This window comes from Homo sapiens, chromosome X (genome assembly GCF_000001405.40).
Source record: "Homo sapiens chromosome X, GRCh38.p14 Primary Assembly".
NCBI classification, from domain to species: domain Eukaryota; kingdom Metazoa; phylum Chordata; class Mammalia; order Primates; family Hominidae; genus Homo; species Homo sapiens.
The window spans coordinates 46,648,605-46,673,585 of record NC_000023.11 but is presented as its reverse complement, the minus strand read 5'-3'; the positions used below and the strand labels follow the sequence as shown (position 1 = coordinate 46,673,585).

At 42.0% G+C, this 24,981-nt stretch overlaps 1 protein-coding gene across 10 annotated transcripts in view; it reads left to right on the top strand.

The window, feature by feature from the left end:
* The window catches only part of SLC9A7 (solute carrier family 9 member A7), a 159,868-nt gene that overhangs the window by 85,533 nt on the left and 49,354 nt on the right, over window positions 1-24,981 (top strand). For 9 of the 10 annotated variants that reach the window (XR_007068203.1, XM_017029905.2, XM_005272682.5 and 6 more), the window contains exons 4-11: window positions 959-1,035; window positions 3,867-3,979; window positions 10,943-11,048; window positions 11,429-11,570; window positions 19,872-19,977; window positions 22,182-22,270; window positions 22,363-22,476; window positions 24,789-24,900. Coding sequence is in view for 9 of the 10 variants with exons in the window: in XM_017029905.2 (XP_016885394.1) it covers window positions 959-1,035; window positions 3,867-3,979; window positions 10,943-11,048; window positions 11,429-11,570; window positions 19,872-19,977; window positions 22,182-22,270; window positions 22,363-22,476; window positions 24,789-24,900 (859 nt within the window). In the remaining variant the exon portion in view is untranslated. Of the gene's footprint in view, window positions 1-958; window positions 1,036-3,866; window positions 3,980-10,942; window positions 11,049-11,428; window positions 11,571-19,862; window positions 19,978-22,181; window positions 22,271-22,362; window positions 22,477-24,788; window positions 24,901-24,981 lie in introns of all 10 variants that reach the window. The other variant, NM_032591.3, reaches the window with a different exon arrangement.

The window sequence follows — 24,981 nt, the reverse complement described above, 5'->3', positions numbered from 1 at the left end:
GATCAGAGTGTTGGGAGATTTTTGTCTGTTTTTGTTAAATAGTTCTGATTGTCAAATGAGAATGGCTTATGCCTTGAGGAGGCAGAACTGTGTCTTAGGATCCCAAGAACAGGCAGAATTTCCTCCGTCAAAATATCCCACAGGCCTAATGACTTGTAAGAAGTAAATCCTTCCAAGACAACATGGTAAAACAAGTAAATCCGTGTGTGTGTGTGTGTGTGTGTGTGTGTTTATATTTTTAAGGTAACCAATGAATGTGCAGAAGCATTGAAAGGATTGCAGTTTTGCCACTTTCTGAATAATTTCTAGCTGTGATATTGATATGTGTTTCTTCTTGTATAAACTTGGCCATCTTAAATGGAACTATCTGTTTCTCATTTCTCCACATCCATCTCTATTGTCCCTCTTTCCCAGGCTTCAGACATTAATCTAGATGAATATAAGGAGACGCTTCAGGTTCCATGAGCAGATATTTAGGACTCTGTTTTCTGATATCAAATTAAGCAGAAAGCTCATGACATAGCACCTTCACACTTTATTTGTTTTAAACTTCTATCTGTGATGATCTTCTGAGGTACCACCAGAACTGGAAGTGACGTGCTGTATCACTGAGTAAAATGGTTTGGGTTAAATCTGTAAAAATGATTGGTCTACTCACACACACACGCACAACATATACACACACTTAATGTGATTTAATGTAATCATCCAGAGCAGTTTTGTCTGAAAATTTACTAAGTCCTTGCTTACTTGCTCAGTACCTGGCTGTATAGAAGATAACTTAAAACCATGATGTCTAAGGTTAAATAACACCATATAGGAGTAACTTCAGTTGTTACTTGATGTAATGGAAACAGTAAGTAGAGTTCCACTTTTTAGAGACTTTTAATGTGTTTCTTAAGCTCATTGTTGAAAATCACAATGTGATTCCTGGGTTTTGTTTGTTTGTTTTATTCAGAGACACTTTTTCAGAAATCTTGGATCTATACTGGCCTATGCCTTCTTGGGGACTGCTGTTTCATGCTTCATTATTGGGTAAGTGAACCTTTGTCATATAACCAAATTAACACACGTTCCATAGGGATGAGATCCATTTGGGTCCACAGAGTCCAGTATTTTGATATTTTTGATGATGGCAGTCAGGATCAAGAGTTACACCGTTCAGTATGGTAGCTATTAGCCACGTGTGGCTATTTAAATTAAGATCAATTTACATGAAATAAAATTATACCCAGCACCCAGATCTTGGTTTCTGTTATCATTCTTTGATAAAAACAACCAGAGCCCCTTGCAGAAATGGCTAATTCTAGGGCTGGGGCAGGAAATATACAAGATGAAAAGGGAGTATCTTGTAATGCCAGAAAGTAAGGAAGTACTCAGAAAACAGACAGACAAAAGAATGTGGGGGATGTCAAAGGGACACAAGAGCCAACCTGAAAGCCCCTGTAATGGTCAAAGCCGCCCCACAATGGCTGAAGAACGACAAAACAAATAACATTGCATTAGATTATCCCCAAGAGCATAAAGTAAGTATCACTGAGTCCATATGGATATAAGTAAGTGATTGGATGAATAAATAAATGGGGGAAAGAGACAAATCTCCTGTGCAGAAGAATTCCAAATACTTTATGTAGATACATCCCCCCTCAAGGAGGTGGAGCTCAGTCCCCTCCCACTCCCTCTTTGACTGTGGGCTGTGCGTAGTGACTTCTTTCTGAAGAGTACAGTACAGAAAGCAGGAAAAAAGAGTAGCTTTACAGTGGAGAAACCTGACAAATACTACCTCACCCAGGTGATCAAGGTCAACATCAGCAGTGGTAAGTCACGTTGATAGTATGTACCTTGATATTTGTGATGAGAAGGATACTCTACCTCTCTGGTTGTTCACTTAAAACCACATTACCTCAGTCTAACCATGAGAAAAAAAATCAGACAAATCCTAGTCGAAGGATATTCTACAAAATATCTGAGCAGTACTCCTTAAATCTGCCAAGGTCATCAAAAATGAGCAAAGTCTGGCAGGGCGAAGTGGCTCACGCCTGTAATCCCAGCACTTTGGGAGGCCGAGGCGGGCAGATCACAAGGTCTGGAGATCGAGACCATCCTGGCTAACATGGTGAAACCCCGTCTCTACTAAAAATCCAAAAAAAAAAAAAAATTAGCCGGGAGTGGTGGCGGGCGCCTGTAGTCCCAGCTACTCAGGAGGCTGAGGCAGGAGAATAGCATGAACCCGGGAGGCGGAGCTTGCAGTGAGCCGAGATTGCGCCATTGCACTCCAGCCTGGGCGACAGAGTGAGACTCTGTCTCAAAAAAACAAAATGAGCAAAGTCTAAGAAACTGTCACAGTCATGAGGAGACTAAAGGGATTGGATGACTAAACGCCATGTGGTATCCCGGATAAGATCCTGGAACAGAAAAAGGACATTAGGTTAAAAACTAAGAAAATCTGAATAAAGTTAGGATTTTTATTAATTTTTTAACAATTAGCTAGAAACCTGGAGATAATAGCAGGGGCCTTTTGTGCCATCAAAAAAGGAGGGGCTTTGACTTATCCTTTAAGAGATACATATTATTGAAGAATGACACTTTACATAACTGGCATTAGTGATGATAGGAAGCAAAATGGGGAAAAGGCTGCCGGAGAAGTCTATTGTTTAGGTCACAGACTGGTGGAAGGAAATGGAGAGGAAGGTCTTGTTCCAGGAATGTTTAAAGGGTACATGAAAGAAGCCTTTGATAAGCAACAAAGGGCAAATCAAATCTGTAACATACAATTCCTGTGAAAAGAAATTGAGCTGGTTAAGTGTCTAGAACAGTGTCTGGCACACAATAGGCAAGCATTAAGTTATAGCTGTTTCTTCTCAAAATGATTCCATTCTGTGAATAGTTCTTTTGCTTCTAGCTTAGCTAGTCCACCCTTCTAAGCATTTGAGACACAAAGGTGGGCAATGGCATCAAGAATCTCATTATTAGAGCATTGGCTGTAGGGTATAATGAGTCAAGTCCATGGTTATTTTTACTCCTCTAACCCCTGCAGCTGCTGCTATCACTGCTGCTGCCACCACACGCACACACACAGACACACACACACACATGCACGCACAGATACCCTTGTAACATGTACTAGACCTTTTCACACTCCTCACTCCTCCCAATTTGTAAGCTGTCCTGTAGGAAATGTGCTTCCACCAAGCTGAAAAATTTAACTTGGTAGTCCCTCTTAGCCCACGTCATAGTCTACATAGCATAAGGAGGGCTATTGCTGGCCTGCCTGACCCATGCAAAGAGTGAAAGCCCAGATATCTTGATGGGTATATGGATGTTCTAATAGGACATTTAAAGATATTCGCCTCTTTTTCCTTTTTTTGAAATAATTCTTGGCAGAGAAGGCAAGATCCTTTGGATCTTTGTGACCAACCCATTTTTTTCTCTCTAGTTGCATCCAGTCTACTGATTTCTCTGACTTTAAATGCATTATCTTAGAGTCTTATGAGTTTTGTAGCAACTTATTGCTACAAAAACATTATGCCAGGTTCTGTCTCTTCCTTTCCTCTGTATTACCCAGTTGCGTCAAATGCCTTAGCTTTGTTGCTAATTGAAGACTGTGCTTCATGGTTGCTTTAGTTGTTAGCCAGTACAACTTTTAAAAATGAAATGTTCAGATATTTCAGCAAGATGACATTAACTGCAAACTATTACTTGATGCCAAAGTCCTGCTGGCAATGTCTCTGGTAAGTGTGAAACCATGGCAGCTGCCTGTTGTTTTCATAAATCTCTAAGAGCAGCATTCTAGTGCTATTCTGCTTGCGTGTTTGCTAAGTTACTTATTTTTTTCTCCTGACATAGTTTACCTTACCTTCTTACAGAAATCTCATGTATGGTGTGGTGAAGCTCATGAAGATTATGGGACAGCTCTCAGATAAATTTTACTACACAGATTGTCTCTTTTTTGGAGCAATCATCTCTGCCACTGACCCAGGTATTTGGCTTTGTGTATTTGTCTTTATTATTATGATATTCCATTATTTAAATCTTTAAAAGTTCAGAGCAATCATTAACTTTTGTTGCAGTAGGGAGAATGTAGTATTTATTTGCATGGCATGGTGGTGGAAGAAGTGACCAATAGGTGGGTCTAACAGACTTAGATGGCTTTTCTTTTCCTTTTTCCTTTTTTGAGACAGGATCTCACTCTGTTGCCCAAGCTAGAGTGCAGTGGTGCAGTCACAGCTCACTGCAGCCTTGACCTCCTGGGCTCAAGCAATCCTCCTGCCTCAGCCTCCCAAGCAGCGGGACTACAGTTAGATGGCTTTTCTAAGAAGGGCATGCAATTTCCTTTTTTATTATTAATTTTTTTTTATTGTTGTAAAAATGCCTGACATAAAATTTACTATCTTAACAATTCCTTTTTTTTTTTTTTTGAGACAGAGTCTTGCTCTGTTGTCCAGGCTGGAGTGCAGTGACACGATCTCGGCTCACTGCAGACTCTACCTCCCATGTTCACGCCATTCTCCTGCCTCAGCGTCCTGAGTAGCTGGGACTACAGGCGCCTGCCACCACGCCTGGCTAATTTTTTTGTATTTTTAGTAGAGACAGGGTTTCACCGTGTTAGCCAGGATGGTCTCGATCTCCTGACTTCGTGATCCACCCGCCTTGGCCTCCCAAAGTGCTGGGATTACAGGTGTGAGCCACCGTGCCCAGCCTATCTTAACAATTTCTAAGTGTATAGTTCAGTAGAGTTAAGTATACCCACATCATTGTGAAACCAATCCCCAGAACCTTTTCATCTTGCAAAATTGAAATGCTATACCCATTAAACAACAACTTCCCAGTCCCCCTTCCCTGCAGCCCCTGGCAGCTACCTTTGACTTTCTGTCTCTATGAACTTGACTACTGTAGATACTTCATACAAATGAAATCATACAGTATTTGTCCTTTTGTGACTGGCTTATTTCACTTAGCATAATGTCCTCAAAGTTCATCCATTTTATAGCATTTCTCATAATTTCCTAACCTTTAAGGCTGAATAATATTCCATTGTATCTGTATAGCATGTTTTTTTTTTGTTTTGTTTTGTTTTTGAGATGGAGTTTCACTCTTGTTGCCCAGGCTGGAGTGCAATGGCACAATCTTGGCTCACCGTAACCTCTGCCTCCGCCTCTGCCTCCTCTGCCTCAGCCTCCGGAGTACCTGGGATTATAGGCATGCACCACCATGCCCGGCTAATTTTTTTGTATTTTTAGTAGAGACAGGGTTTCTCCATGTTGGTCAGTCTGGTCTCAAACTCCCAACCTCAGGTGATCCGCCCACCTCGGCCTCCCAAAGTGCTGGAATTACAGGCGTGAGCCACCGTGCCCGGCTGTATAACATGTTTTGCCTTTCGTCTTAGAATGACTAATTTGGTCATAAGTTTTACACTTAGATTTTCTTCTTTCCCAGTGTTGCCCTTTTGCCTTCTTTTATGTAACATAGCATTTGGGTTAAATAATACCTTTTCTTAGTAGAAACACACATGATTATCTGTAGTGAATGTAATTTAATTTGTAAACTCCTTTTGTGCGGCATTCCTGCAGGACTGTGCACTGTGACATGGTTTTCTATTCATCAATCCCTTGCCTTGTATTTTTCAAGTGTTGGTTGAACCAATTCTTACAAGTGAATTATTACACCCTCCCTTGCAGCTCAAAACAAACAAAAAAGTTCTCCTTTCCAAGTTGAAACCTATAATTTGATCAGTTTGCATAAAGTAGTTACAGCTATTCTCTTCCTTAGTGTCATCTATTGAGAGTACACCTTAGGGAAAGAAGTTCTGGAGAATGAGCTGCTCCTGTCCTCACGGTAGAGATAGAAAGGTCTGCTCAATGTCTCCAATGCCCTCTAATATTCTGAACAGTAATAACCTTAAAGATATTAAGATACCCCACTTGACCATGCCCCTTGGGGGTCCTCTCCATCAGTGCTATCTTTCTGTGAAGATAGAGATGTTCTATAATCTGCAAGTCCATTGTGGTAACCAGTAGCCACATGTGGCTTTTGAGCACTTGAAATGTAGGGTAATGCAATAGGGGGACTGATTTTAACTTTTATTTAATGTTAAGTAATTTAAATGTATATAGCCACATGTGGCTAATGGTTACCACATCAAACAGCATAGCTCTAGACAGTTGTGTGGTTCTGAAGAATCTCAATGTTCAAAAAAAAAAACATTGACCTCTCTTACCCTCATATTTTATTACAAACACCCTGAGTAAATTAGTATTGAAGACTTGGCTGTCGAGGCACTCTGGTTTGTGAAAAGGTGGGATTTGGAGTCACAGGCCTTGGGTTTAGTTCTAGCCCTACCAATCACTGATCGGGTGGCCTGGGCACACATTGTCCCCTCACATCAGTTTCCTCATATATAAAGTAGAAATGATGGCACCTATCTCCTAAGGCTATTGTGAAGATGAAATGAAACAACACGTGTAAGGCACTGAGTGTACCCTGTCTAAATTATGCTGGTCTGTGTCCACATCTGACTCAGGCAGAGATTTCTCAGTTTTCCTTATGTTTAAAAAATAAACAAATAACAGATCATCTCTGAAGCCAAGCATGTTTCCAAAGAGAACTCTGAAAATCAGCTTTATTATTTTAATCCTGTGCTGTCTGTGACTGTCTCCAGATGTGTGTCTGTGGAGAAATAGATCTTCATAAGTCTGAGAAAGGTATTTAGTCTGTCCGAAAATGTGTTTCTAAGTATACTCATCTATAATTTTATTACTGACATCTTACTAGTACCACTAACAAGTAAAGGGAAGTTAGTTTAACATAAAGATTATTGATATTGTTTCCTGAGCTATCAGTGTTACTTCATTTAATTGGATAGAGAGGCTTACTTTTCTAGATTATCTTTGTAATTGTTTACTTCCCTTTAATGTGTCTATGCTATGGTAGAGAATAATGGAAGGCATTACCATGCTACTCCATTTTCATTTGGCCTATGAAGACTGGCACAGTAAGGGCTTTATAGAAATGGAAGTTGTAGAAAATTGAAAGTTTAAACTTATTAAGCATCAGGACATTAACTTTAACTGCTTTTTAAATAGAAATATTCCTGAAATGTAGAATGTTTTTGTAAATTAGAAGTGTTTTACCAGCCTCCTAAAAAATCTGTTGTTTGAAAACTTGGGTCATAAAAGAGATAAAATCTTAAGTGCAGAGTTAAGCATCACAAGACCAGATTGACTTCTAGTACCTGGTGCATCAAACAAAAATTCTGATATTGGCAGCCTGGGCAACATAGTAGAACTTCATCCCCACAAAAAAATTGTAAAAATTAGCTGACCATAGTGGTGATTGCCTATAGTTCCAGCTACTCGGGGGGCTGAGGCAAGACGATTGCTTGAGCCCAGGAGTTTGAGGCTGCAGTGAGCTGTGATAGCACCACTGCACTCCAGCCTGGATGACAGAGCAAGACCCTGTCTTTAAAAAATGAAACAAAAAACTTTATAGTGTTAGGATACAGAGTGGTATTGACTGATATGAAGGAATAAGAATCCTTGTCCCTGATTACTGTACTTGGCTTGAGACATGAGTCTTTGGTCTTCTGGTCAAAGGTGACATAATATATGTGGGATAGTGTAGGCTGCACTGTGACAGGGAGCCTTCTCCACTCTGTGGTCATGTGTCATGGCTGCCATGTGCCATCTTTGTGGGCTTTTGTTTTAGACGGATCCACAATTAAAGAAAAAAAAATGCATTTGCACCCCATGGTGCCTTCCTAGGCAGCCACCAGAGAACACATGCCACTGCACTCCAGCCTAGGCGACAGAGACCCTGTCTAAAAAGAAAAGAAAAATAGAAACCTGTGAGTCAGGCTGATTGACTCAAGGAGTACAAAGGTGATGAATTAAAATTGGGGAAATGACATCATGATGGTTCACAGGAAGGGCATGCAATTTCCTTTTTTATTATTAATTTTTTATTGTGGTAAAAATGCCTGACATAAAATTTACTATCTTAACAATTTCTTTTTTTTTTTTTTTTTTTTTTGAGATGGAGTCTTACTCTGTCGCCCAGGCTGGAGTGCATCCTTTGGGACTTGGTTCAAATGTGCCACCTGCCTAGTCACTCTTTCTAGACTCCATTATCTGCTCCCTCAGCTCTTTGAGTTAGGTCTGTTTTGTACATGTCAGTGCTTGCCACTTTGTACTGAGTGCTCACAAGTGCTAAGTGCCCTTGACTACATGGATGATGTGTCCAAGAAAAGTTAGTTGAATGAACACATTTAGGTCCTTGAGTTTTTCCTTCTTCATATATCTGCCATTCTTTTGTTTTTCCCACTGCCTGTACCCAGTGATCTTTAGTTAGTTAATTGTGATTTCTCAGTCTGTGTTCAGTTGGAAATAGCTGTGACCCTGCTCACCCTGATTTCAAGGGTCCTGCTGTAGGGAGGAGGGCAGTTTGTTTCATCTCTCCCATTAAAGACCACTTAGCCAGTCTGTCATCCCCATCCCATCGTCTTCCAGTTGTCAGCACCCACATCCCACCCCCGTGGTCAGGCACAGACTTGCTCAGGAGGGGCACAGAACGGTTCCTGACCTGTTTTGTGAGATAATGAGCAGGGAGAATGAGAAGTTGAAACAGATCAGTGCTATGTACGTGTTTATTGTTATTATTATTAATTATGCTTTTAGGCCAGGTGTGGTATGCTTCTGTGGTCCCATCTACTTGGGAGGCTGAGATGGGGGGAATTGCTTAAGCCCAGGAGTTCCAGGCTATAGTGAACTATAATCACACCACTGTACCCCAGCCTGGGCAACAGAGCAAGACCCTGTCTCAAAAAATATATAGAAATAAAAATAAAAATAAAATTTTTAAAAAATGGGCAAAACCAAATGATAGTGTCAGGGAATGTGCATTTGTGTGATTAAATTATAGGGAAAGGCAAGAAAATGATGACTATAAAATTTAGTTTAGCGGTTCCCTTTAGTGAAGGAAGAGGCTTCAGACTGGGATGGGACATATAGGGGACTGACAAAGTTCTATTTCTTGAACAGGGGTGTGGTTACAAGACTGGTTGGCTTATAATAACTCACTAAACTGAACATTTGTTTGGCTTGGTTTTCTAATTGTATCAATTAGTAATGCTTTTGGCTGCAAAGAACAGAAAAACCTGGCTAATCCCTGCTTAAACAAATAGATATTTATCTTGGGTACCAGTACTGGGCTGATGTCCCGGCTTCCACTACAATCATAAAAAATACTACACTCAGTCTTTCTGCTCCACTGTTCTGGGGTTTCAGTCACACATCAGTTGCCCCATGGAGGCAAGATGACTGCGTTGGTGTCTGGCCTCTCTGCCCTCTTCCTGACAGGAAGAGGTAATGCTTTCTGCAAGGGAAGCTGGGAAAGTGGGTTTTTAGTTTTTGCAGTTGTATGGTAGAAACCATCAAGAGAGAGGGTAGTTGGGTATGAGTGTTGAGAGAGAACACAGCTCTCGTGCATGTATCTAGATCGGTGGTTCTCAGTCAGGGGCGATATTGCCCCTGCCCCCACCCCCGTCATTATTATTTTAAGCAACACACACACCATGTTTCAAAGGCTTGGCACAAAGATGGAATTTATAAAATCTAATTAATCTTTTTTTTGAGACAGAGTTTCACTCTTGTTGCCCAGGCTGGAGTGCAATGGCGCAATCTCGGCTCACCGCAACCTTTGCCTCCCAGGCTCAAGCAATTCTCCCACCTCAGCCTCTGGAGTAGCTGGGATTACAGGCGCCTGCCACCACACCCGGCTAATTTTGTATTTTTAGTAGAGATGGAGTTTCTCCATGTTGGTCTGGCTGGTCTCGAACTCCCAACCTCAGGGATCTACCCGCCTCAGCCTCCCAAAGTGCTGGGATTACAGGCGTGAGCCACCGCACCTGGCCCTTTTTTTTTCTTTCTTTCCTTTTTTTTTTTTTTTTTTTTGAGATGGAGTTTCACTCTTGTTGCCCAGGCTGGAGTGCAATGGCACGATCTTGGCTCACTGCAACCTCTGCCTCCTGGGTTCAAGTGATTCTCCTGCCTCAGCCTCCCAAGTAGCTGGGATTACAGGCATATGCTACCATGACCAGCTAATTTTGTATTTTTAGTAGAGACGGGGCTTCACTGTGTTGGTCAGGCTTGTGTCGAACTCCTGACCTCAGGTGATCCACCCGCCTCGGCCTCCCAAAGTGCTGGGATTACAGGCGTAAGCCACCACGCCTGGCCCTTTTTTTTTTCTTTCTGTTTTTGAGACAGAGTTTCACTCTTGTTGCCCAGGCTGGAGTGCAATGGCGTGATCTTGGCTCACTGCAACCTCCGCCTCCTGGGTTCAAGTGATTCTCCTGCCTCAGCCTCTCAAGTAGCTGGGATTACAGGCGTGTGCCACCATGCCTGGCTAATTTTGCATTTTTAGTAGAGACGGGGTTTCACCATGTTGGTCAGGCTGGTCTCAAACTCCTCACCTCAGGTGATCCACCTGCCTCAGCCTCCCAAAGTGCTGGAATTACAAGCATGAGCCACCATGCCCGACCAAAATCTCATTAATCATTTTTATAATAACTTTGTTATTTTAACCTTGGCTCTATTGAGCCAGAGAAATCAAAGAGATTTCAACCCACTGGTGAAGCCAAATCACATTGATTGTCATTATTTTTTGAAGTTCTGTAACAGATACTTTCAAAGTGTGATGGGATCACAGTGGAAAGCATAGTGTTTTGGTGCAATATCATTAGACTCAAGCATCATATCAAAGCTCCTTCAGATAAGGAAGATTGCGGTTTTCATTTCTGCCACAGATAGATAAGTCTATCTTTGACTCCCTTGCTATCTCTTGAATCACCCAGTCCCACCCAAGATAGGAATTGCCTCTATAAATCTGTAATCAGTGATTTAAGGTCAGAAACCAAAACTAATTTCTGTGCTTTCGGCTCACTTTTCAGTGACTGTGCTGGCGATATTTAATGAATTGCATGCAGACGTGGATCTTTACGCACTTCTTTTTGGAGAGAGCGTCCTAAATGATGCTGTTGCCATTGTACTGTCCTCGTAAGTAGCAGTGTTTCTGCTGGAGAAGAGACACCCCAGTTTCCTCTATGCTTTGGGCTAAATTCAGAGGCTTATCTTAAATGTATTACATATTGAATTGGGTGTTTTTCTAAATGAGATTTATCAGCTTTGTGGATAAAATTACGTTGCTTTGTGTGCCCAGCAGCAATCAGAATGCTGACACCAGCGTAACATGGTGGCTGCAGATTAAATTAAATGAATTTACCCTGGGCAATGCTGGCTGCAGATTAAATTAAATGAATTTACCCTGGCCAATGCTTGACAAAATGTAGATAGACCTATGTTTGTCGATATTTTCAAGTACCATAGTGTAAAACCTGTGCAGTCTTTTAAAACTGTCTCTTGTTTTTAAACTTTAGGTCTATTGTTGCCTACCAGCCAGCGGGACTGAACACTCACGCCTTTGATGCTGCTGCCTTTTTTAAGTCAGTTGGCATTTTTCTAGGTATATTTAGTGGCTCTTTTACCATGGGAGCTGTGACTGGTGTTGTGACTGCTCTAATATCCTTTTTGTAGTTTCAGCTCGGGCCTGGGTATGCGTGTGTGGCATTACACTTTCAAAAAGAAAGTTCTCAGCTGTTCTTTCAAATTGGAATTTTACATTGAGTGTTCCACTGGGGCATGATGGCTCCTGAAATATGTCACTTTGGTGAAGCATGACGGTTGGGTCCCTAGCTGAGAGTCTGAGAAAATGTTTAGGAATGCAACCCTAGACTTCGCTCTGTCTTCACCTTTGCTGTTTCTCTCCCTTTCTTGTGATCCAGTTGGAGCATCAGTTTTAGAGGGGTGAAAAGAGCTGAGGAGGCAGGAGGAGACTGAGAATTAGGGACTACTGGCTGGGAAGTACTTTAGCCCCAGCTAGCTGCTGCCAACTGCTGTTCCCGGCCACATGGTGTTATGTGGCGATAGCTAGTTAGTGGCCTTCCGTAAGCAAAGGATGGCCCAGTATTCAGTTTAAACAAACTAAAAAAACAGTGTGGAAAGAGCAGGCATCCCTTCCACAGATGTGGTGAGTCCTGCATCATATCCTCTTTGGTGGGCATTACTATGTAATTTAAACCACATCATTCCAACATGTAATCAATATGGAAAAAAATAACAAAATTATGATAAAAATAATTTTTTTTTCTTTTTTTTTATTATTATTATACTTTAAGTTTTAGGGTACATGTGCACAATGTGCAGGTTAGTTACATATGTATACATGTGCCATGCTGGTGCGCTGCACCCACTAACTCGTCATCTAGCATTAGGTATATCTCCCAGTGCTATCCCTCCCCCCTTCCCCCACCCCACAACAGTCCCCAGAGTGTGATGTTCCCCTTCCTGTGTCCATGTGTTCTCATTGTTCAATTCCCACCTATGAGTGAGAATATGCAGCGTTTGGTTTTTTGTTCTTGCGATAGTTTACTGAGAATGATGATTTCCAGTTTCATCCATGTCCCTACAAAGGACATGAACTCATCATTTTTTTATGGCTGCATAGTATTCCATGGTGTATATGTGCCACATTTTCTTAATCCAGTCTATCATTGTTGGACATTTGGGTTGGTTCCAAGTCTTTGCTATTGTGAATAATGCCGCAATAAACATACGTGTGCATGTGTCTTTATAGCAGCATGATTTATAGTCCTTTGGGTATATACCCAATAATGGGATGGCTGGGTCAAATGGTATTTCTAGTTCTAGATCCCTGAGGAATCGCCACACTGACTTCCACAATGGTTGAACTAGTTTACAGTCCCACCAACAGTGTAAAAGTGTTCCTATTTCTCCGCATCCTCTCCAGCACCTGTTGTTTCCTGACTTTTTAATGATGGCCATTCTAACTGGTGTGAGATGGTATCTCATTGTGGTTTTGATTTGCATTTCTCTGATGGCCAGTGATGATGAGCATTTTTTCATGTGTTTTTTGGCTGCATAAAAGTCTTCTTTTGAGAAGTGTCTGTTCATGTCCTTCACCCACTTTTTGATGGGGTTGTTTGTTTTTTTCTTGTAAATTTGTTTGAGTTCATTGTAGATTCTGGCTATTAGCCCTTTGTCAGATGAGTAGGTTGTGAAAATTTTCTCCCATTTTGTAGGTTGCCTGTTCACTCTGATGGTAGTTTCTTTTGCTGTGCAGAAGCTCTTTAGTTTAATTAGATCCCATTTGTCAATTTTGGCTTTCGTTGCCATTGCTTTTGGTGTTTTAGACATGAAGTACTTACCCATGCCTATGTCCTGAATGGTAATGCCTAGGTTTTCTTCTAGGGTTTTTATGGTTTTAGGTCTAACATTTAAGTCTTTAATCCATCTTGAATTAATTTTTGTATAAGGTGTAAGGAAGGGATCCAGTTTCAGCTTTCTACATATGGCTAGGCAGTTTTCCCAGCACCATTTATTAAATAGGGAATCCTTTCCCCATTGCTTGTTTTTCTCAGGTTTGTCAAAGATCAGATAGTTGTAGATATGCGGCATTATTTCTGAGGGCTCTGTTCTGTTCCATTGATCTATATCTCTGTTTTGGTACCAGTATCATGCTGTTTTGGTTACTGTAGCCTTGTAGTATAGTTTGAAGTCAGGTAGCGTGATGCCTCCAGCTTTGTTTGGCTTAGGATTGACTTGGCGATGCAGGCTCTTTTTTGGTTCCGTATGAACTTTAAAGTAGTTTTTTCCAATTCTGTGAAGAAAGTCATTGGTAGCTTGATGGGGATGGCATTGAATCTGTAAATTACCTTGGGCAGTATGGCCATTTTCACGATATTGATTCTTCCTACCCATGAGCATGGAATGTTCTTCCATTTGTTTGTATCCTCTTTTATTTCCTTGAGCAGTGGTTTGTAGTTCTCCTTGAAGAGGTCCTTCACGTCCCTTGTAAGTTGGATTCCTAGGTATTTTATTCTCTTTGAAGCAATTGTGAATGGGAGTTCACTCATGATTTGGCTCTCTGTTTGTCTGTTGTTGGTGTATAAGAATGCTTGTGATTTTTGTACATTGATTTTGTATCCTGAGACTTTGCTGAAGTTGCTTATCAGCTTAAGGAGATTTTGGGCTGAGACAATGGGGTTTTCTAGATATACAATCATGTCATCTGCAAACAGGGACAATTTGACTTCCTCTTTTCCTAATTGAATACCCTTTATTTCCTTCTCCTGCCTAATTGCCCTGGCCAGAACTTCCAACACTATGTTGAATAGGAGTGGTGAGAGAGGGCATCCCTGTCTTGTGCCAGTTTTCAAAGGGAATGCTTCCAGTTTTTGCCCATTCAGTATGATATTGCCTGTGGGTTTGTCATAGATAGCTGTTATTATTTTGAGATACGTCCCATCAATACCTAATTTATTGAGAGTTTTTAGCATGAAGGTTGTTGAGTTTTGTCAAAGGCCTTTTCTGCATCTATTGAGATAATCATGTGGTTTTTGTCTTTGGTTCTGTTTATATGCTAGATTACATTTATTGATTTGCGTATATTGAACCAGCCTTGCATCCCAGGGATGAAGCCCACTTGATCATGGTGGATAAGCTTTTTGATGTGCTGCTGGATTCGGTTTGCCAGTATTTTGCTGAGGATTTTTGCATCAATGTTCATCAAGGATATTGGTCTAAAATTCTCTTTTTTGGTTGTGTCTCTGCCCAGCTTTGGTATCAGGATGATGCTGGCCTCATAAAATGAGTTAGGGAGGATTCCCTCTTTTTCTATTGATTGGAATAGTTTCAGAAGGAATGGTACCAGTTCCTCCTTGTACCTCTGGTAGAATTTGGCTGTGAATCCATCTGGTCCTGGACTCTTTTTGATTGGTAAGCTATTGATTATTGCCACAATTTCAGATCCTGTTATTGGTCTATTCAGAGATTCAACTTCTTCCTGGTTTAGTCCTGGGAGAGTGTATGTGTCGAGGAATTTATCCATTTCTTCTAGATTTTCTAGTTTATTTGCGTAGAGGTGTTTGTAGTATTCTCTGATGGTAGTTTGTGTTTCTGTGGGATCGGTGGTGATATCCCCTTTATCATTTTTTATTGCGTCTATTTGATTCTTCTCTCTTTTTTTCTTTATTAGTCTTGCTAGTGGTTTATCAATTTTGTTGATCCTTTCAAAAAACTAGCTCCTGGATTCATTAATTTTTTGAAGGGTTTTTTGTGTCTCTATTTCCTTCAGTTCTGCTCTGATTTTAGTTATTTCTTGCCTTCTGCTAGCTTTTGAATGTGTTTGCTCTTGCTTTTCTAGTTCTTTTAATTGTGATGTTAGGGTGTCAATTTTGGATCTTTCCTGCTTTCTCTTGTGGGCATTTAATGCTATAAATTTCCCTCTACACACTGCTTTGAATGCGTCCCAGAGATTCTGGTATGTTGTGTCTTTGTTCTCATTGGTTTCAAAGAACATCTTTATTTCTGCCTTCATTTCGTTATGTACCCAGTAGTCATTCAGGAGCAGGTTGTTCAGTTTCCATGTAGTTGAGCGGTTTTGAGTGAGATTCTTAATCCTGAGTTCTAGTTTGATTGCACTGTGGTCTGAGAGATAGTTTGTTATAATTTCTGTTATTTTACATTTGCTGAGGAGAGCTTTACTTCCAAGTATGTGGTCAATTTTGGAATAGGTGTGGTGTGGTGCTGAAAAAAATGTATATTCTGTTGATTTGGGGTGGAGAGTTCTGTAGATGTCTATTAGGTCCGCTTGGTGCAGAGCTGAGTTCAATTCCTGGGTATCCTTGTTGACTTTCTGTCTCATTGATCTGTCTAATGTTGACAATGGGGTGTTAAGTCTCCCATTATTAATGTGTGGGAGTCTAAGTCTCTTTGTAGGTCACTCAGGACTTGCTTTATGAATCTGGGTGCTTCTGTATTGGGTGCATATATATTTAGGATAGTTAGCTGTTCTTGTTGAATTGATCCCTTTACCATTATGTAATGGCCTTCTTTGTCTCTTTTGATCTTTGTTGGTTTAAAGTCTGTTTTATCAGAGACTAGGATTGCAACCCCTGCCTTTTTTTGTTTTCCATTTGCTTGGTAGATCTTCCTCCATCCTTTTATTTTGAGCCTATGTGTGTCTCTGCACGTGAGTTGGGTTTCCTGAATACAGCACACTGATGGGTCTTGACTCTTTATCCAATTTGCCAGTCTGTGTCTTCTAATTGGAGCATTTAGTCCATTTACATTTAAAGTTAATATTGTTATGTGTGAATTTGATCCTGTCATTATGATGTTAGCTGGTTATTTTGCTCATTAGTTGATGCAGTTTCTTCCTAGTCTCGATGGTCTTTACATTTTGGCATGATTTTGCAGTGGCTGGTACCGGTTGTTCCTTTCTATGTTTAGTGTTTCCTTCAGGAGCTCTTTTAGGGCAGGCCTGATGGTGACAAAATCTCTCAGCATTTGCTTGTCTATAAAGTATTTTATTTCCCCTTCACTTATGAAGCTTAGTTTGGCTGGATATGAAATTCTGGGTTGAAAATTCTTTTCTTTAAGAATGTTGAATATTGGCCCCCACTCTCTTCTGGCTTGTAGAGTTTCTGCCGAGAGATCCGCTGTTAGTCTGATGGGCTTCCCTTTGAGGGTAACCCGACCTTTCTCTCTGGCTGCCCTTAACATTTTTTCCTTCATTTCAACTTTGGTGAATCTGACAATTATGTGTCTTGGAGTTGCTCTTCTCGAGGAGTATCTTTGTGGCGTTCTCTGTATTTCCTGAATCTGAATGTTGGCCTGCCTTGCTAGATTGGGGAAGTTCTCCTGGATAATATCCTGCAGAGTGTTTTCCAACTTGGTTCCATTCTCCCTGTCACTTTCAGGTACACCAATCAGATGTAGATTTGGTCTTTTCACATAATCCCATATTTCTTGGAGGCTTTGCTCATTTCTTTTTATTCTTTTTTCTCTAAACTTCCTTTCTCGCTTCATTTCATTCATTTCATCTTCCATCACTGATACCCTTTCTTCCAGTTGATCGCATCAGCTCCTGAGGCTTCTGCATTCTTCACGTAGTTCTCAAGCCTTGGTTTTCAGCTCCATCAGTTCCTTTAAGCACTTCTCTGTATTGGTTATTCTAGTTATACATTCTTCTAAATTTTTTTCAAAGTTTTCAACTTCTTTGCCTTTGGTTTGAATGTCCTCCCGTAGCTCAGAGTAATTTGATCGTCTGAAGCCTTCTTCTCTCAGCTCATCAAAGTCATTCTCTGTCCAGCTTTGTTCCATTGCTGGTGAGGAGCTGCGTTCCTTTGGAGGAGGAGAGGCGCTCTGCTTTTTAGAGTTTCCAGTTTTTCTGCTCTGTTTTTTCCCCATCTTTGTGGTTTTATCTACTTTTGGTCTTTGATGATGGTGATGTACAGATGGGTTTTTGGTGTGGATGTCCTTTCTGTTTGTTAGTTTTCCTTCTAACAGACAGGACCCTCAGCTGCAGGTCTGTTGGAGTAACCGGCCGTGTGAGGTGTCAGTCTGCCCCTGCTGGGGGGTGCCTCCCAGTTAGGCTGCTCGGGGGTCAGGGGTCAGGGACCCACTTGAGGAGGCAGTCTGCCCGTTCTCAGATCTCCAGCTGCGTGCTGGGAGAACCACTGCTCTCTTCAAAGCTGTCAGACAGGGACATTTAAGTCTGCGGAGGTTACTGCTGTCTTTTTGTTTGTCTGTGCCCTGCCCGCAGAGGTGGAGCCTACAGAGGCAGGCAGGCCTCCTTGAGCTGTGGTGGGCTCCACCCAGTTCGAGCTTCCCGGCTGCTTTGTTTACCTAAACAAGCCTGGGCAATGGCGGGCGCCCCTCCCCCAGCCTCGCTGCCGCCTTGCAGTTTGATCTCAGACTGCTGTGCTAGCAATCAGCGAGACTCCATGGGTGTACGTCCCTCCAAGCCATGTGCGGGATATAATCTCCTGGTGCGCTGTTTTTTAAGCCCATCGGAAAAGCGCAGTATTCGGGTGGGAGTGACCCGATTTTCCAGGTGCCGTCTGTCACCCCTTTCTTTGACTAGGAAAGGGAACTCCCTGACCCCTTGCGCTTCCCAAGTGAGGCAGTGCCTCGCCCTGCTTCGGCTCGCACATGGTGCGCGCACCCACTGACCTGCACCCAATGTCTGGCACTCCCTAGTGAGATGAACCCGGTACCTCAGATGGAAATGCAGAAATCACCCGTCTTCTGCGTTGCTCACGCTGGGAGCTGTAGACCGGAGCTGTTCCTATACGGCCATCTTGGCTCTTCCCCCAATCATGATAAAAATAATTAATGAGATTTTATACATTCAATCTTTGTTCCAAGCCTTTGAAATATGGTATGTGTGCTGGGCGTGGTGGCTCACACCTGTAATCCCAGCACTTTGGAAGGCCAGGGTGGGCAGATCACCTGAGGTCAGGAGTTTGAGACCAGCTTGGCCAACATCGTGAAACCCTGTCTCTACTAAAAATACAAAAATTAGCCAGGTGTGGTGGTGTGCACCTGTAATCCCTGCTAATCGGGAGGCTGAGGCAGGAGAATCACTTGAACCTGGGAGGTGGAGATTGCAGTGAGCCGAGGCCGTGCCATTGCACTCCAGCTTGGGTGACAGAGCGAAATGCCGTCTCAAAAAAAAAAAAAAAAAAAAGAAAGAAAGAAAGAAAGAAAAAAAGAAATACAGTGTGTGTGTTGCTCTTACAACACATCTCAATTTGGACTAGCCACATTGTAAGTGTTCAGCTACCACATTGGATAGCGCAGATTTAAATTGCTTTCTTCACAAGGGCCCTTTTGATGCCTTGGAGACGTATATTGCTCAGTGAGATCTGTCATGAGATGCTTCTATGCTGGCCGTGTGTTGAATGGCACTGTTACAAGAAGGATCTCTGGTCCCGAAAGGTGACACCAGCACCTGGTAGCTGTCTCAAGAATTATGCATTTCTTTCTTTCCTGTGCCTTCCTTAGGCACCTGTTGTGGACTCAGGTGGCCTCGGTGGTGCACAGGGGTCAGGGTCTCACAGGCCTTGTCTTCACAGCCCTGCTGGAACCAACCCAACAAGCCAGCCTGACGTCATGACCATGCCTCTCAGAACCATGGCCATTCAAGGAGCACAGAAAACTAGTTGCCAGTTTCTCTAGAATTCTGAATTTTTAAAAGAACAGCCTTATTGAGATATAATTTATATACCATACAAGTCACCCATTTAAATTTAATGGCTTTTGGTATATTACATGATAATTTTTTTTTTTGACGGAGTCTCACTCTGTCACCCAGGCTGGAGTGCAGTGGTGCAATCTTGGCTCACTGCAACCTCTGCCTGCCGGGTTCAATTGATTCTCAACCTCCTGAATAGCTGGGATTACAGATGCGTGTGACCACACCCGGCTAATTTTTGTATTTTTAGTAGAGACAGGGTTTCAGTATGTTGGCCAAACTAGTTTTGAACTCCTGACCTCAGGTGATCCACCTGCCTCGGGTCCCAAAGTGCTAGGATTACAGGCATGAGTCACCACACCTGGCCTACATGATTAATTTTTTAAAATTGTGGTAAAATATAGCCAACGAGATTTGTCATTTAACCATCTTTACGTGCACAATTCCGCATTCACAATGTCATGTAGCCATCTCCCTGTCTACTTTCAGAATTTTTTCATCATCCGAAACAGAAGCTCTGTACCCATTAAACAATGTCTCCCTGTTTCTTCCTCTCTCCAGCCCCTACAAAACTTGTGTTCCACTGGAAAGCTTAATTTGTATTACTTAAGAAATCTCCAGCAGCTTTAGAGCCTCCAAAAAAAAAAAAAGGTTGAAGGGAAAGGCTAGCCCTTTGGGGAGGGGTCCTGGGCTAGTGGAGTATGGTTCTTGGTGGCCCTGATACATGTACCTGGAGACAGGGTCCTTGACAGAATGCCAACGTGACTAAGTTTACCAAACTGCACTGCTTCCCCCTGCTGGAGACGGCGCTGTTCTTCCTCATGTCCTGGAGCACGTTTCTCTTGGCAGAAGCCTGCGGATTTACAGGTAGGTTTTTTCTACTCTTGGACCACCCTTCCCCTCACTGTAGTGGGGTCTGTGGGAACTTGAAGGAAGGGAAGAATTCTTAGATAACAGCTGCACAGAGTTTAACTGTTCAGCAAGTGTCCGTATGGAGGATTGCTGAGCAAGGCTATTGTTCTGTCTTAAATGGATTATTTACTTTCCAAAAAGCTAGACTTTTTTTAATTTTATTTTTTTAGAGACAGGGTCTTGCTGTGTCACCCAGGCTGGAGTGCAGCAGCACAATCATAGCTCACTGTAACCTCGAACTCCTAGGCTCAAGGGATCTTCCCCCTTCACCCTCCCAAGTAGCTAAGACTACAGGCACGTACCACACCCAGCTAACTTCTTTATTCTTTGTAGAGATGGACAACATTTGCTATGTTGTCCAGGCTGGTCTCAAACTCCTGACCTTAAGTGAACCTCCTACCTCAGCCTCTCAAAGCACTGGGATTACAGGCATGAGCCACCATGCCCAGCCTGAAAAAGTAGATTTTAATGATAAAGTTTATCATTCCAAAGTCAATTACATTTTTGAGTACTCATTCTAACTGTAAGTAGATGTTAAGGTGCAAAGAATCTATTAAAATTTTATTTGTATATTTCCCTTGATTGCTATGTTATTTTGCAAACAGTAGCAATAACAAGCAAAATATGTGTCCTTTAAAGGGTGATTTTGCCTCTGCTCAGATGAGTGTGAACACGGTTTTTCATTGTTTTGTTTCTGGGCTATTTAATCATTGCTTTTCAATATCACATTTTTATGGTGTCAGTTTCATATAGTATTAGTGAGGTGAAACATGTGGTTTTACTTCCTCACATTCTTTCATTTTAAAAAAACATTGAATTTTTCCATTAGAAAATTCAAGTACAGTTCTGTACATAATCCAGGTACTTAGGATGTACTTTTGTCACCCTTTCAAAATACTGTAGCAAATCTTTATATGCAGCATTACAAAATGCCCCACTTCCTTAAAATTTAACAGTTATCTGTAAATGTGTAGGCAAAGTCCCAGGTGTGTCATTTGTCTCGCACAACAAAATGGTTACCATTAACCAGAAATATAGAAGATCGGGGCTTGGATAAATGGAATAGTACTCTTGATCTATTTTGTCTAAAGCCCTAGACTGTGAAAAAATCTAGGCCAGGCACAGTGCGCATGCCTATATAATCCCAGCACTTTGGGGCCAAGGCAGGTGGATCCCTTGAGCTCAGGAGTTCAAGACCAGCCTGGGCAAGATGGAGAAACCCCATCTCTACAAAAAAATACAAAAATTAGCTGGGTGTGGTGGTGTGCATCTGTAGTCCCAGCTATTCAGGAGGCTGAGGTGGGAGGATCACTTGAGCCTTGGAGATAGAGGCTGCAGTGAGCCGAGATCATGCCACTGCCGTCCACTGAGGGATATATAATATATAATCCACTTTGTCTCAAAAAATATATATGTATATAAAGCATTAGTTTGAAATTCAGTTCATTCATTCTAAAAACAGTGAGGAATATGGCAAAAATTTGGATGGGCCCTCACAGTCTCTTTGAAGGAATGAATGCTATATGCCAACTACAGATGGTAGTTGGAGGAGTTTAGAGGAGGCAGGAGATACCCTTAAAACTGGAACAAGGAGGGGATGTTGAGGTACTTGGCTTTGAAGGAAGGCAGGGTTGGGAGACACAAAGGTTGAGAGGTGAGGGGTTGTAGGAGTGTTCAGTAGTAATAGGAAACTTTTTTTTCTTTTTTTTCTTTTTCTTTTTTTTTTTTTTTCTTTTGAGAAAAGGTTGCCTTCTGTCGCCCAGACTGGAGTGCAGAGGCGTGATCATGGCTCACTGCAGCCTCGACCTCCCAGGCTCAAGCGATCCTCTCACCTCAGCCTCCCTAGTAGCTGGGCCACAGGCCCACGCCACCACATCCGGCTAATTTTTTGTATTTTTGGTAGAGATGGGGTTTTACCATGTTTCCCAGGCTGGTCTCAAACTCCTGGGTTCAAGCGATCTGCTTGCCTTGGCCTCCTGCAGTGCTGGGATTACAGGTGTGAGCCACTGCGCCCGACCCAGCAATAGGAAAGTTTCAAAAATATTCAGGAAGTTGGATATGCTAGGCTTGCCTACCTTAACTTTTTGTTCTAGCAGGGTTTTTTTTTTCCCCTGCCTCTTTTTTTTCCATTGATTTTTTTTGGGGGGATGTTTTAACAGGTGTTGTAGCTGTCCTTTTCTGTGGAATCACACAAGCTCATTACACCTACAACAATCTGTCGGTGGAATCAAGAAGTCGAACCAAGCAGGTGAGAGAGAGGCTTGGTACTCACGAGTTGCTTGTTAACACAGGGAAGGGGGAACTGCAGGGTTACAGCTTCCTTTTCCCTTCTCTGTGCAGCTCTTTGAGGTGTTACATTTCCTGGCAGAGAACTTCATCTTCTCCTACATGGGCCTGGCACTGTTTACCTTCCAGAAGCACGTTTTCAGCCCCATTTTCATCATCGGAGCTTTTGTATCCTTTTCTTGTTCCACCATTTTCTACATGCAGAGACGACCACTGTTGGAGAAGCTATAGTAATAATAGTCATAATAATAATATAAAATAACAATAATATAATAATATAAACCATCATAAAATAATAATTACTATTTCTGTTTTGGGTAGGTGACTAACTCCATGCTAGTTCACAGGGTTTTTATGATGAAAAAAAGAAGGCTTAAGTGGCATTTCATAACACTAAATGTATTTGATTTAAAGGACTGCATGTATTCCAAGATCATCCTTTCTGCCTTTTCTATGTAAGATGGCCTTTCTGTTAAACTGGTGCTCGGCAGGTGATTGTTTTGTAAAGTGCTCTTCTTGGTGAATCTAAAAGTCAGCAACCATGTCAGTCTCCAGTGTTATTTTTGACAATTCATTGCTGTATGAATTCCAATCCAGGAGGTTCCCTGATTTGGATGACCCAAAGGTTCTGTTCCTCTTGCTCATGACTACGTCTGCAGTATGGGCAGCCCTTCCTCACACTGCCCAGGGTTGCCTGCAGGCAGTGACCCTACTTTTTCTCAAGCTTCCCTGCTGCTGCAGATCATGGTGGGAAAGACTCTTTCTCCCCGCCCCCACCAAAAAAAAAAGGAGAAGGAAAAAGAAAAATGAAGGGAAGAAAAGATAAAATAGAAAAATATTTGGTTCCTTGGTCTGGGCCCATTGTAAATGCAGTTTCTGGAATATAGACATAGTTTGGGGGATTGGCTTCTCATGTGCCTACCAGTGGATGGACAGCTGAGGGTTTTGCTCACTTGGCCTCAGATACTATGTTTTTATTAAAGTGAACTTTTCTGGGGCTTGATTTCAAGATACTGAGCGCAGTCCCCTATTGCTGGACATTCACATTTGCCTTTTCTGAGGCCTCATGATTATCCTTAGATTTTGGAATGCTGGCAAAAAAGCAGTGTTTTTCTCTTCTGGGCTTAATTTATTGTGCAGGAATGACTGACACTCACCAAGCTGCTGGACAGTGACAGTGGCCTAATGCAATGCTGGAATCCTTCTAGCGTGAGAGCCTCCTACGCTTAAACCAGTGGCTCATTTCTTGGATTTCCATGCTTACCAGACTAATAGCTAAAAATCTGCAAGATCAGTGTTTTTATTCTTTTTTGAGAAAGACCTTGCATGTTGTTTTGATTTGTATTCCTAGCATGACACCCTGTGAGAGATAGTGAGAGCACAGCCCTGTTTACAGATGAGGGCCTGGCAGAGGCCAAGCCGGGTCCTCTGCAGATCCTAACTGCTGCTTACCACTTAAGGACTTTTGTTTCTCTTCTGGGATGGAATGTACTTTATAAGCATTACCTGGTTCTTTCTGCTTAAAACAAAACAAAGAAAACGGAAGAAAAACAGGCAGTGCTTTACCCTGCAGGAGACAGAGAAGATAGTTCCGCCCTGGCTTCTGTCTGAAACAGCTGCAGCTCCTGCAGCTGGTGTTTTGCCAAAACGGAAGCTCCCTGTTCCTCTGGCTCCCACAGGGGTTCCCTTCTCTGACCAGGGGAGTGTGTAGCTCTCTCAGTTGGGCACTATTCTAAGCTCAGCAAGTAACAAAGGACCAGTTTCCCTGCATTCTTTGGTTTCCACAGCAGAGTTCCTTTTTCCATACTCCTTTTCCATTTCTTACATCTCCAAAAAACATTTTAGCTACTTAGGTAGAGAAATATCTCCCTGGGTTCATTCCTATGAGTGATCTGAATGTCTTTTAGTGTGGTGAATATTTTAAGTTTCCCCACCTCTTATTTGCAGGCTCTTCCTGACCATTAAAGTCTCTGATGTTTACTTGCAAATGAAGCCTGCAAGCGCTTATCCAGCAAACTTTTTCTTTATAGTTTGACTGCAGGATTAGCAATTGTTTTCTTCTAGTGCCTTTTCTTTTAGTAGAGCCCAACACACACTGTTTGCTTCTCTCAACTGCTCTCTCCTGCTGTGGTACTTTAGCTTATTTCTGGACTCCTTTTTAGATAGATTTAGATAGATGGATAGATAGATAGATAGATAGATAGATATCAGTTGAATTAAATCAAGAAGTTACAATATTGTGTTTAACAAGCTAGAAATGATCTCTATGAATCAGGAGGTGGGAAAGCTTGGCCAAATTAGTCCCATTTTGTTGCTGAGAAACTTGTCTAGGGGGGAACTAGACAGTCAAGCTTCTTTGGGCAGCTCTCTGGACTATAACGAGGTGTCACAGCATTCCTAAAATTCTCTGCTCAGCCGGAGGTTGTGTGGAATGCCATTCTGGAAACTGTTGGTCCCTTAACCTTCTACCTTGTGGTCAGGTTGCCATCTTCCTGGGCAGAGCCGCGCACATCTACCCGCTCTCCTTCTTCCTCAACTTGGGCAGAAGGCATAAGATTGGCTGGAATTTTCAACACATGATGATGTTTTCAGGTAAAAAGGCGTAAGTGTAAAGAAAATGAGTTTTATTCAGCAGGTAACAAGAATATGATTAAAATGTAATTGATAAGGTTC